The 14095-nt window shown below is 39.8% G+C and overlaps 1 long non-coding RNA gene across 32 annotated transcripts in view; it reads right to left on the bottom strand.

The window, feature by feature from the left end:
* The window catches only part of CDKN2B-AS1 (CDKN2B and CDKN2A antisense cis and trans regulatory RNA 1), a 133352-nt gene that overhangs the window by 66830 nt on the left and 52427 nt on the right, over positions 1-14095 (bottom strand). For 17 of the 32 annotated variants that reach the window (NR_185867.1, NR_185859.1, NR_047532.2 and 14 more), the window contains 2 exons: positions 12085-12207; positions 4926-5061 (listed from right to left, as the gene is read on the bottom strand). This is a non-coding gene — a long non-coding RNA (CDKN2B and CDKN2A antisense cis and trans regulatory RNA 1). Of the gene's footprint in view, positions 1-2258; positions 2955-4147; positions 5062-12084; positions 12208-14095 lie in introns of those variants that run through there. The other 15 variants (NR_120536.1, NR_185863.1, NR_185854.1 and 12 more) reach the window with 4 other exon arrangements.

Below are 14095 nucleotides of genomic sequence, written 5' to 3'. Positions count from 1 at the left end.
CAGATTTTGGCTAGTAAAGGAAAAGATGTCATCAGATTCCTGGATTGTTGTTCTCAGAGTTCCAGAAATGGGAGGCCTGGGGAAGGAGTTCCAGACTGAGAACTTCCAGCTGTGATGGTCATGGTTGCTGTTTGCCAAATATTTCAGTTCTCCCCCAATGTTGGCTTGGTGGGGCCATCTAGCTGGTTCTGGCCAATCAGTTGCAAGAAAAAGAAATGTGCTTCACTTCCAGACCAGATATTAATTATCAGTACAAGATTCTCAAAAGTTTGTTTTTTTAAAAAAACTTGTGGTATAGTGATATGGTTTGCCTGTGTCCCTACCAAATCTCAACTTGAATTGTATCTCCCAGAATTCCCACATTTTGTGGGAGGTATCCAGGGTGAGGTAACTGAATCCCGAGGGCCGATCTTTCTCGTGCTATTCTCCTGATAGTGAAGTAAGTCTCACGAGATCTGATGGGTTTATCAGGGGTTTCCACTTTTGCTTCCTCCTCATTTTACTCTTGCCACTGCCACATGAGAAGTGCCTTTCACCTCCTGCCATGATTCTAAGGCCTCTCCAGCCATGTGGAACTAACTGTAAGTCCAATGAAACCTCTTTTTGTTCCTAGTTTCAGGTATGTCTTTATCAGCAGCATGAAAACAGACTAATACAGTAAATTGGTACCAGTAGAGTGGGGCTTTGCTGAATAGATACCCAAAAATGTGGAAGTGACTTTGGAACTGGGTAACAGGCAGGGACTGGAACAGTTTGAAAGGCTCAGAAGAAGAAAGGAAAATGTGGGAATGCTTAGAATTTCCTAGAGATTTGTTTAATGGCTTTGTCCAAAATGCCAACAGCGATATGGACAATAAAATCCAGGCTGAGGTGGTCTCAGATGGAGATGAGGAATTTGTTGGGAACTGGAGCAAATGTGACTCTTGTTAGGTTTTAGCAAAGAGACTGGTGGCATTTTGCCTCTGCCCTAGAGATTTGTGGAACTTTGAACTTGAGAGAGATGATTTAGGGTATTTGGCGGAAGAAATTTCTAAGCAGCAAAGCATTCAAGATGTGACTTGGGTACTGTTAAAGGCATTCAGTTTTAAAAGGGAAACAGAGTTCAGAAAATTTGCAGCCTGACTATGCAATAGAAAAGAAAAACCCATTTTCTGGGAAGAAATTCAAGCTAGCTGTAGAAATTTGCATAAGTAGCATGGGGCCTAATGTTAATCCCCGAGACCATGGGGAAAATGTCTCCAAGCCTTGTCAGAGACCTTCATGGCAGCCCCTCCCATCACAGGCCCAGAGGCCCAAGAGGAAAAAGTGGTTTCATGGACTGGACCCAGGGTCCCTGCGCCATGGGCAGCCTAGGGATTTAGTGCCCTGTGTCCCAGCTGCTCCAGCTGTGGCTGAAAGAGGCCAATATATAGCTCAGGCTGTGGCTTCAGAGGGTGGAAGCCCCAAGCCTTGGCAGCTTCCACGTGGTGTTGACCCTGTGGGTGCCCAGAAGTCAAGAATTGAGGTTTGGAAACCTCCACTTAGATTTCAGAAGATGTATGGAAATGCCTGAATGCCCAGGCAAAAGTTTGCTGCTGGGGCGGGGCTCTCATGGAGAACCTCTGCTAGGGCAGTGCAGAAGAGAAATGTGGGGTTAGAGCCCCCACACACAGTCCCTAGGCACTGCCTAGTGGAGCTGTGAGAAGAGGGCCATCGTCCTTCAGACCCCAGAGTGGTAGATCTACCAATAGCTTACACTATTCATCTGGAAAAGCCACAGACACTCAACACCAGCCGGTGAAAGCAGATTGGAGGGAGGCTGTACCCTGCAAAGCCACAGGGACGGAGCTGCCCAAGACCATGGCAACCCACCTCCTGCATCAGCATAACCTGGATATGAGACCTGGAGTCACAGGAGATCATTTTGGAGCTTCAAAGTTTGACTGCCTCGCTGGATTTTGGACTTGCATGGGCCCTGTAACCCTTTTGCTTCGGCCAATTTCTCCCATTTGGAACAGCTGTATTTACTCAATACTGGTACCACCATTGTATCTAGGAAGTAACTAGCTTGCTTTGATTTTACAGGCTCATAGGCAGAAGGGACTACCCTTGTCTCAGATGAGAATTTGGACTGTGGACTTTTGGATTAATGCTGAAATGAGTTAAGACTTTGGGTGACTATTGGGAAGGCATGGTTGGTTTGGAAATGTGAGGACATGAGATTTGGAGGGGCCAGGGGTGAAATTACGTGGTTTGGCTGCATCCCCACCAAATCTCACCTTGAATTGTTTCTCCCAGAATTCCCACATGTTGAGGGAGGGACCCAGAGGGAGGTAAATTATGGGAGCCAGTCTTTCCCATGCTATTCTCTTGATAGTGGAATAAGTCTCATAAGATCTGATGGGTTTATCAGAGGTTTCCGCTTTTGCTTCTTCCTCATTTTTCTCTTGCTGCCACCATGTAAGAAGTGCCTTTCGCCTCCCACCATGATTCTGAGGCCTCCTCAGCCATGCGGAACTGTAAGTCTAGTTAAACTTCTTTTTGTTCCCAATTTTGGGTCTTTATCAGCAGGATTAAAACAGATTAATACATATAGTGACCAAAAAGTGGCCGTTCCATCAGTCCAAGTTCCTAAGTGACTTCAGTGAGCAGATCCCCTGCAGATGATAGATGGATATGTGCCATGAGTAAGAATAATTCTGTATATTTTAAGCCAATGAGATTTTGAGGTTGTTTGTTACCACAGCATAATTGGGCTTATCGTGACTGATTCAACCTCTTTCTGTTTACATTTGGGCTTATATGATAGGCTCATTGTCAAACCTAGAAAGAAGCAAAGATTCAAATGGCAACAGAATAGTGTTCTTCTGCTAGAAAATGTTTCTAATAATTCCATTTGTCCTGTGTTAGGTCTATGTTTTTCCCTGGTGTGTCCTTCATGCTTTGGATATCAGTGAAGGCGTTCATTGGAGAGACTGAGAAGAAATGAATGTAAGGGAAAAAAGTAAATAAATGGAAATTTGTCAGTACCCGCCAAAATGAACTTATCTTGAAAATTACGTAAGAACAGACCATGAAGCAAGGGAGAGGCAATCTATTTTCAATACTGGTTTTCACTGGGTTTGTTTGTTTCATTTTTGAGATGGAGTTTCGCTCTTGCTGCCCAGGCTGAAGTGCAATGGCGCAATCTCGGCTCACTGTAGCCTCTGCCTCTCGGATTCAAGCAAATCTCCTGCCTCAGCCTCCCCAGTAGCTGGGATTACAGGTGCCCACCACCACACCTGGCTAATTTTTTTTCAAGCAAATCTCCTGCCTCAGCCTCCCCAGTAGCTGGGATTACAGGTGCCCACCACCACACCTGGCTAATTTTTTATATTTTTAGTAGAGACAGGGTTTCACCATGTTGGCAAGGCTGGTTGCAAACTCCTGACCTCAGGTGATCCACCCGCCTTGGCCTCTCAAACTGCTAGAAATATAGGCATGAGCCACCTTGCCCAGCCTATCACTGGGTTGCTTTTTTTTTTCTCAAGACAGGGTCTCACTCTATCGCCCAGGCTGGAGTGCAGTGGCACTACCTCAGCTCACTGCAACCTCCACCTCGCAGGCTCAAGCAATCCTCCACCTCTGCCTCCTGAGTAGCTGAGACTCCAGGTGCCCACCACCACACCTGGCTAATTTTTGTATTTTGTAGAGATGGGGTTTACACCATGTTGCCCAAGCTGGCCTCGAACTCCTGAGCTCAAGCAATCAGCCCACCTTGGCCTCCCAAAGTGCTGGGATTACAGGTGTGAGCCACCACACCTGGCCAATACTATATCACTTTCTACAACTATATCTTTATGTCTTCCTGAGTGTGGCCAGCAGAAATATCCTTTTGACTAGATGCTGCATCTACCTTTATTCTTTGGCTTAAAATATTTAATTAATTTTGATTAAAAATACGAGCTTTGGAAGATCACAATCATAATTGTTATGTTCACTATATAATAGATATACAGGAACATGTACTTGTGTATCTAATCCATAGCATCTGAGTCTGTAAGCCAAGAGAATGTGAAGGCCTTTTGGAAGATGGAACGAAATTATAACATACTGAAGAATACATAGCTCTGCTGAACAACTTATGAGTTAACTTTTGGAAAGAAATCAAGAGACAATCCCTGTAAAATTAATATTTTAAAAATAATATTTATTTTTATCAAAATAATTCACATACACTCAGAGGCAAATATTACTATCTTATAACAAAAACAGCAGTTACCTATTTGGGGTCGGGTAAAGGTAAACTCAGAATAATATGTTATTATATGGCAAGAGTAAGAAAAATGACTAAATCTAGATTAATCCCTAGTTTTGAGGACTAAGCTACTAGGTGAATGTCAGGTTCATTAATTAAGATGGGGAAGACTGGTAAGAGCAGGATTTCCAGGAGGGAGGGAAAGCAAAGAATCAAGAATTCTAAATTGGACATAGAGATTTAGACATCAAAAGTGAAGATGTTGAGTAGACAGTTTTATATACAATCCGGAGTTGAGGAGATGGGTCATGGGTAAAATTACTGGTTTAGAGGTCACTTGGATGTAGATGATATTTAAAGATATTTAAATGATAGCAACTTAAGAGAAGAGAGGTTAAGAAAACTGAAGCTGACATCACTTAACATGTAGCATTCAGGCCAAGGAAGAGAAGCCAGAAAAGAAGACCGAGAAACTGTGGCCAAGAAGATTGGCAGAAAGCCAGGAGAGGTGGTGACTCTGGAGTAAGCAGGGGTTCAAAAAGGAGAAAACAGTCACCTGTGTCCATGCGGCTCACTGTTCACTATATAAACTTAGCCGTCCTTTATTTTCCTGCCTCTAATCTATGTGGCAATTTTCACAGTTCCCCTCCAATTTCTCACCACTGTGCTTTTGCTCCTATTATTCTTTTGCATTGGAATACCTCCTCACCTGTCAAAATTCTCTCTATCCGCCGGGTGTGGTGTCTCACACCTGTAATCCCAGCACTTTGGGAGGCCGAGGCGGGCGAATCACGAGGTCGAGAGTTCAAGACCAGTCTGGCCAACATGGTGAAACCCCGTCTCTACTGGAAAAAAAAAAAAATATATATATATATATATATATACACACACACATATATAAATTAGCTGGATGTGGTGGCAGGAGCCTCTAATCCGAGCTACTCAGGAGGCTGAGGCAGGAGAGTCACTTGAACCCGGGAGGTGAGATTGCACCACTGCACTCCAGCCCAGACGACACTGCAAGACTCCGTCTCAAAAAAAAAAAAAGAAAAAAAAATCTATGTAACCTTCAAGACCCATCAAGAATGCTATCAACTTTGTAACGTATTTCCTAGCTCCACTAATAAAATATGCTTTCTTCCTCCATACTATCTGATAGCCCGTTGCATGCCAAATTTTATTCTGATTTGTACTATAATTGTTTGTATTCTTTATTCATCCTCCCTATATGCCAATATAGGCCCCCCAAACCTCTCATAATGTAGCCGAGTGTCTGGTATGCAGTAGGTCCTCAATAAAAATTTTCACTAAATCAAATCCAAAAATATAAAACCCAAGCCAGGAAAAGTATCTTCAAAGGACAGCCTCTTTTGTCCCTTTAGATTTCTGTCTGCCAGCACGTGGATCATCTGCACCCAAGCCCAAGAATTATTTACTCATATTCCTGGCCCTCTATAAAAAATAGTGAAAAAGATCAATCACAGAAAACCAAGGTTTTTTTAAAGTTATATTTTTTAAAAAGACTGTGGCAAAAAAACAAAAAACAACCAACCTACCTACAGAAGAATGCTGGCAAAACTACTTATCCTGCCTTGGCTGAGTATGTCCTGAGCTAATGGCTATTTTAAAAACCACTTAAACTAATTTTTCTCCCAGATCTTCATTAAGAAAATGGCAAGTTGCAAAAGCCCAAAGGATAAAACAACTTTTGTTATCCCTGAACCTAAAACTAAGCTACAAAGACTGTCCTAATCCAAGCCTTGGTTTAAAAGTCAAACAGCAGAATATTAAAAATTGCTAAGAGAGTAGATCATAAATGTTCTCACCACAAAAATATGGCATGCATATGAGATGACAGATATCTTAGTTTGATTTAACCATTTCACAATGTATACATATATCAAAACATTCCACTGTACACAATAAATATATAGAATTTTTATTTGTTAACTATACCTTAATAAAAATAAATTTTTAAAAAATAAAGTGGCAGAGGCATCTGATAAATAACAAATATGAATTTAATAATTTTAAAAATCAGGCAGGCTGGGCGTGGTGGCTCATGCCTGTAAATCCCAGCACTTTGGGAGGCCAAGGCAGGCAGATCACTTGAGGTCAGGAGTTCGAGACCAGCCTGGCCAACATGGTGAAACCCCATCTCTACTAAAAATACAAAAGTGAGCCAGGCATGGTGGCAGGTGCCTGTAATCCCAGCTCCTTGGGAGGCAGAGGCAGGAGAATTGCTTGAACCCGGGAGGCAGAAGTTACAGTGAGCTGAGACAGAGTGAGACTCTGTCTCAAGAAAAAAACACCAGCAACAACAAATAAAGTAAAATAAATAAAAATAAAAAGGCTTATAAAATAAAAAAATAAAATAAATAAAAATTTAAAAAAATAAATAAAAAATAAAAAAATAAAAATAAAAAAAGCTGAAAGAACACAGGTTTTCACATAGAAAGGATATGGATTTGATTTTCAATCCTATCATTTGATATTTTTGTAATCCTAAACAAATTTGTCGGCTTTTTTGAGCCTCAGTTTTCTCACTAGAAAAATAAAAATAAGAATAAATCTCTTAAATAATGACTGAAATACTATGAAAAGAAGTGCCTGACACAAGGTATGCTCATAATCAGTTATAATTATTAGTATTGTCACAAATCCTAAGAAATTGTTTGTGGCCTTTCAAGTATTGCCTGGTGATTATTTATAGTCTGATTTAATAATAGATACCACTAACTGAGCACCTCCTATGTGTCTTACGTGTTTTAGATTTGTAGACAAATGTAGTGACTAAGAGCATGCACTCTGGCGTCAAACTGCAGAGATTCACATTCCAGCTCCATCATATGGTAGCTGTGCGACCTTGAGAAAGTTACTTAACTTCACTTCTTATGTCTGGATTCTTCATCTGTAAAATAGAAATGATAATAGTACCTATCTCACAGGATTGTTGTGAGGATTAAATGAGATAGTGTGTATAAATTGTTTATCACCAGCTTATAGTATGTGCACAAGAAATGCTAGCTAAGGTTATTATTATAATTTCCGTTTTGCAGATTAGGACCCTAAGCCCTAAAGAGGGTCAGTAACTTATCCCAGGTCACACAGTTAGTTATGAGTTAACTTTTTTTTTTTTAATTTAAGGCTGCTTATTGCAAAGCCTGTGCTTTTTTGCTAAACCATCTCTTTTTCTGTTACGTATGTCCTAAGTAAAAATCCTTATTTTTTCCTTCGATGGCTGTAACAATTAGCTAGTGACGGTCTACAAGACATCAAGGAGGACCTAAGGAATAAAATACAGCAATCAGGTCTAAAACAAATATATGTTGCTATTTCTTCTTTGTATGCACCATAGTAGTATACTGTATTTCCATTAGAAGTTATGTTAATAAGAAAATTTTTGAATGTTCTTGCTCCAAACATCAGCATATACTTGCATTCTCTTACACTGGGAAGAAAGAAAGTGGTAGAAAGAAGTCATCTGGAAGGTAGCTCTGGCTACGAGTTGGAGGAAAAGGGAAGAGAGAGAAAAACAAGTTATCAGTGGTACACATAGTCAGGGCCAAAACTTTATAAACCAAACAGAATTTCCACAGACCTAATGATCACTGGGAATTATCTGCCAAGCTGCTAGGTGAAACATGCTGAAAAACAGCCTGGGCCTATGGCAAACATGTTTAGCTTTATGATTTTCTTCATCCCCTCTTCTGACTTGCACAATGTTGCCCCCAACTGTCTTCTAAAACTAATCACTCTTTCATGGTCAATGGAAACTTAGAAACCTAGATTCTCAAACGTTTGCTAAAAAAGCCCAGGTCTTTCTAGACATCTGTAGATAGATAAATAACCTAGTGATAAAGAATATACATTCTGTTCAGGTCCATCCTCCAGCTCCGTCCCATATTAATTGTGTGATAATCCAAACTGGTTGTTTTGTGCTAAGATTCCTACTTCCTGCACTTTCAGATTCACATACTCAGAGCTAGAAAACTTTTGAGAGTACAAGGTGATAACTACTGCAAATTCACAGAAGATTACATAAGTATAAATAGTCAACCTAACCTCCCTCTTCCTCTAACATTTTCTCACAAAACTAAAAAGTTTGGAAACTCCTTTTCTTAATGCTGGCGCCAGTTCAGCCACACTCTAGAAGGTATTGGTTTCATGAACTACAATGTGGAATCATCAAAATAAAGGGGCAGGATGAGAAAAAATGACAGCATGGGGCTTTGTGGTGTGTAGATTTAGTTGCTCATACAAGAACCTGGGAGGGGGAACCCCCCAAAAGATTAGTCACTTCATTTTATGTTGAGAACCCAATTCAGGTTAACAAAGTGTTGCCAACAAAGGAGATGAGAAAATGGCAGTATTCACTTGCTCTGGACTGAATAAACAAATGCGGGATTTGTGGGCTGACTAATGTCCTGGGATAAACCAGGCAGTCAGCCAAATTCTACGAGTTTTGATGAAAAGACAGCAAGCCCACACTTTTCTTCATGAAGAGTGCTCTGTGGGAGTATTGATGTCCACATGGGCAGCCTGGGTCTTCAACTTGCCTTAAAGATTCGCCCTTATCCAGCCACAGGAAATTCTCAATGCTTCTGTAATTGAAAACCTAGATCAAATGACAGAAGCTAAATTCCTTCTTCTTGAGAAGTGTTATCTGTCATGCATCTCTTTGTAGAAACGTGTTATCATTGTCCTTTTTTAAGCACTACATTACTCTGAAAATATACAGTTAGGTCACTAAAATGTGACTCTAGCTTTTCATTCATTCATTTCATTCACTGAATGCCTGCTATGCTCTAGGGACCATGTAGGGCTTTGTATATAGAACACTTAATGAGTCAGACATTGAAGCCCCCCATCCAGCCTCGAAATTCCAAGGGCACTGAAAAAAGTAAAATAGTACTTGTAATTTCATTGGGGGAAACTATTAAAATTTGAAATATTTTGGTGAGAGAGGCAATAAGTTTTTCAATTAAGGTCTTAATACAAGGTTGTAGGGAAGTCAGAAATGAGAATGTGGAGTTTCCTTTAATCTGGCCACCAGGATCCCCCACCATGATGTGAGGACCACAGTCATGATTTAACCTCAGGCTAAAATGGATTTTATTACAAACTGTGCAGCTAGTGAAATGTCAAGGGTTGTTTCACAGGATCTTAACTAACACAAGAAAAACTTCCTAGCAGCAGCTGATGCAAACTCCTTTAAATGTATACGTCTAATTTATCTATCCAGATAATAAATATACGTGGTATATGCAGGCTGAAAACAAAATCCCTGGAGTGTTTCGATGTGAGTATAATATACCTAGAAGCAAAAACTTCACTGATATAAAGGATGCATTTTATGAGTCTCCACAAAAATCTCCAACTTTTTATGAAATGTAAGGCCTTCTTAAGTAGTGTTTACTACATACAGCTTTCATAGTTCCTATATGAATACCTACTCTCCATGATTTATCAGCCTTCTAGAGTCCCAGTAGGATGCTGCCAAATTGCAAATTTGGAGAATTAGTTTTAAGAAACATTGTATATAACTGCCTTTGGAAGAAAATTCAGGTAGATTAGCAAAGATTTTAAGCAAGTCCTTTCACAAAAACCTGCAGAATTTCAAGGAGTCTGGGGTTTATGAAATCATCAAATCAATACCAAGTTTAACACATTTATGTTACTCTTATAAGCATAACTCTTTGGGAATAAAGGTATTACAAAAACAAGATTTGGAAAAGGAGGCTAGCTCTTGTTTAATTACTGTGAAGAGCAGAGAATTGAAAGAAAAACTACACACTAGTTGGAAAAGTGCTACTCGGGTTTAAAAAATAGAAAAAGAAAATCTGAGATTGGGATTGGACGATAAGCAGGTAGCAGAAGCAACAAAATGTCTCTTTCATTTTCAGCTCAGGGGGCCCCTTAAAGGAGCAGGCTGAAATGTACAGCCCACAAACCAGAGGAAGGCCTGCACAGGAAGTAGAGTGGAAATTACAGTTGAATGGACTCTGAAACAGGATGAAGCCAGTCCATGTGAGGTTCATGAAAACCAAGTAGACAATATGAACATCCAAGTGTTTCCTTGTGTCATTAACTCAATATTACATTCTGATTTCAAACACCATGGAACCACAGTGAAAAAGCTGCAAAAACGGTAGCCGTTTTTTCAAAACTTCTTTCTGCTGTTTGCTTGTCAGAGCTGATCAGACTCTTCCTTGAGCACTTTGCAGGTCACACACTGGATCCCACTGAGGTGAACTATTTGAAGGGTGATATCAGATTTCCCAGCAAAATTAGATAAGCAGATTGACATGGCAAGAAGCATGAGTTAGCATAAGGAGCTTCCCTAGACAGTGCCAGCGAATTAGGTGCCAAAAGCCTGAGGTGGTTATTAGAAAATGATTACCACCTCCAATTGTCTTAGTACAGACTTTTCACCGCCAGAAAACTGCTACAGAAGAAGCTAGCCAAAGCAATCACTGCTCTCCTAGGAAGCATTCACTGGGAGCTCTTGCTAACATCCCCACCGTTTGAAAGTGGCTAGACAGGACAGTGACAGCAATTCCTGTTGTCAATTAACGAGAAATTGCCCAACGGGATTTTAACTGTTAACTGGATTTCAGCCATGCTGCTCCCAAATACTCCTTTCCTTTGGTTACCTTTCAGCTGGGACTTCCTTGGCAGCCAAAGAAGTACTTCACTTCCACAGTCATCACAGCAGTACAGAGGAAGAAAAACTGAAAAGGGGTCAGGACTCCCTGGCTCTATACGTAATCAATTGCAAGGCCTCTGGCCAAGCCAGGCTGCTTTTCTGTCTTCCCTTCTCCTTTAATCATAAAATAGGATAATATAAAACCTACTTCACAGGATTATAGAAAAGGTCATAGGAAAGAACAGATGAGCTAAGTGCTATGGAAGGTACATACACATTTATGTACTTAAGTCTATGTGTGTGCATGTATGTGTACAGTATATACATTCAACTTTTTAATGTTTCCCAATTGCATAAAAGAGAAATACAGACTTAGCAATCAACTGGTTAAGTGATATGGACAATCTGGATATTTTAGAATAAAAATTCACCCCTTGGTTTGAGGACAAAAAGGCAATGTCTAAATTGTTCAGACCATTTTTAATTCTGCAAGTCCTAGCCATGGAGTCTATACAAGACTAAATTTTATGATTGCTAGGAAGCCAGAAAAAAAATATTTAAGGAAAAATAATAATAGCTACTAATTATTAAATGTTTACTATATGCTGGCCAATCTATGAAACGCTTTACAGATATTATTTTGCTTCCTCTTAGTTACAATCTTGTAAAGTATCTATTTAACAATACTATACATGATGCCTTAAGTGTATAAACAAATTTATTGTTGGAATTGAGATTCAGACTCAGGTCTGTCTTACTTCAGGGCCCTTGATCTTAATGTGAGTCATCCCAGCTCTCTGAAGAATGCCATTTTTCTCATCTGCCCTACTCTAGGATTTAGCATTTCCTTTTGCTGTTAAAAGTTGGCCCATGTGCCCTGGCTGGTGTGTGGGCCAGTCCCTGTGGGGCCCCTTGTGTAAGAGCAGATGTACTGGAGGGTGACATAGAGGATGCAGTGTGCAGAGAGTCCTAAAAGCAGAGGACAAAAGAAGCTTCACAAGGAAAGCACCTTTCGGACTTATACCCAGATTTAAAGGGCTGCATTTCTTTGATAAATGTCACAGAGGCTTGTGTTTGGACAGAGTAGGAAAGAACTCTTCCCATACTCTCCAGCCATTCCACTTAGACTAAAACTCTTCTTTAGATGTTTGGGAACAGTTGTTTGGCAACTTTTATTCAATTAGGGTTCATATCTAAAAGGTCGTTTCATATCTCCTACCTGTTACCTCTGATGGTTTCTTTGGAGTTAGATACATTCCAAATAGATCTCCCCGGTTTTCTTCTAGAAAGCAGTACTGACTCGGGAAAGGATTCCAGCACACCTAACAGTGATGCTTGAACCCTAGAAGAACCACATAGTGTATTAGCCTAGTCATTAGATATTATTTAGAAACACCACTGGAAAATATTAAATAATAGAATTTTAGAATTAAGATTGATACTAATAGGTAAAAAGTGAATATTTGTTGAGCTCTTAAAGAATGGCAAGCATAGTACTATACCTCTTACATGGATTATTTCACTTGTCTCACACTATCCCTAAGAGGCAAGAACTGTTATGATTTCCATTTTCAAATTAGAAGACTAAGTTTGCCATTAAATATTTCTCATTGTCAAAACAGCCACCAACATGACAAGGAAGAGTAGACCTCAGGCAAGAGTAATGCAAAATTTTCACAGAGCTATCCCTCCTTAACCTCCCCACTTCTCCTGTGTTCTCCCAAATGTCTTATTCCATCATCCAAGGTTGGTTACAAATTTCACTCATTTGTTGTACTTTTCCCCGATATGGATTGGATTGGTGACTGGATATCTCCCATGAAACTCGAAAAACAAGAAATTAAGACCTTAAAAGAAGAAATGAAAGATATTTAACTCTAAAAGACCTGAGAATGAACTATGACTCCAAGAAAAGTATGTACGTATATGTATGAAACTGATTGCAAAATGAAAAAATCCAGTGGAGACCTCTTATCTGCCAGACTAACCCCATGAACAGCCTCTTCCATGCAATTCAATGGAAATTATTCCACGGGAGTTATGTGAAAGAGAAGAGCAAAAAGTTTTGTTGAGAAATGCAGGATTGGGAGAGTTAGGCCAGCATCATGAGGAGCTTTGTTTGGTATGAGCACTTTAACCAGATCTCTCCCTTTCAGAGCCTGCCCCAGCTGAGATATTTCATACCAGCATCCACCTTAGAGGCACACACTTCTGCTGAGTGCATGGGCAATGGGATTAGGACGGAAAGACATTTACAGGATGACAGTGTTGAAAAGTTGTTGAAATCCAGCTCTAAAATATACCAATTATTTATGTCATATTTTGGGTTTCCAACTCAATATTTTCTCATCCAGGTCAGGCGCACTGACTCACGCCTGTAATCCCAGCACTTTGAGAGGCTGAGGCAGGTGGATACCTTGAGCCTAGGAGCTCGAGACCAGCCTAGGCAACATGTTGAAAACCCATCTCTACAAAAAAAAAAAAATACAAAAATTAGCCGCACATGGGAGTGCACATCAAATAGTCCCAGCTACTCAGAAGACTGAGGCAGGAGGACGACTATAGCCCAAGAGGTTGAGGCTGCAATGAACCATGATTGTGCCACTGCATTACAGCCTGGGCAACAGAATGATTCCCTGTCTAAAAAAAAAAAAGAAAGAAAAAAAAAGTTTTCTCATCAACAGTGTCTAACCACAGCAAAGCTGGATTGCAAAACCTCCTTAAAGGGAAAATATTTAGAAAAGAGTTATTTGGTTCTATAGTCTTTGTATCTAATTAGCTAAGTTTTGTTATGTATATGTGTAACATCTTCATAAAATGACAGAAGAATTTTGTACAGTATAAATGAGCTATAAGAATCATAATAAATAATAACTAATATATTTCAGCATTTGTAATGTACTATAATGTTATAGATTACTCGCTTCATAATTTTTGCTTGACTAATTCATCACAAGTGCTAAGTTCTTCAGCTCATTAGTTCTTGGAAGCATGGAGTTACCACTAGTAGTGAAAGGGTGCCTCTTTAATGCTCAGGTTGAAATTAAATCACAGAAATAGTTGCTTCTTTCTCACCAAATCACCAGCATGTGGTCTTTCCCTCTGAAACTTGTGAGGATGAAATATTTATATCAGCATATAAATGGATGCAAATAATGAGTGTCTCCTTTATGCATTTTGCTGCAACAATATACCTATACATAGTTTTAAGGCTTGGGAAAAGCTATTGG

Source organism: Homo sapiens, chromosome 9 (genome assembly GCF_000001405.40).
Source record: "Homo sapiens chromosome 9, GRCh38.p14 Primary Assembly".
Lineage (NCBI taxonomy): Eukaryota > Metazoa > Chordata > Mammalia > Primates > Hominidae > Homo > Homo sapiens.
The sequence above is the reverse complement of the archived record's forward strand: the minus strand, read 5'-3'. Positions and strand labels throughout refer to the sequence as shown.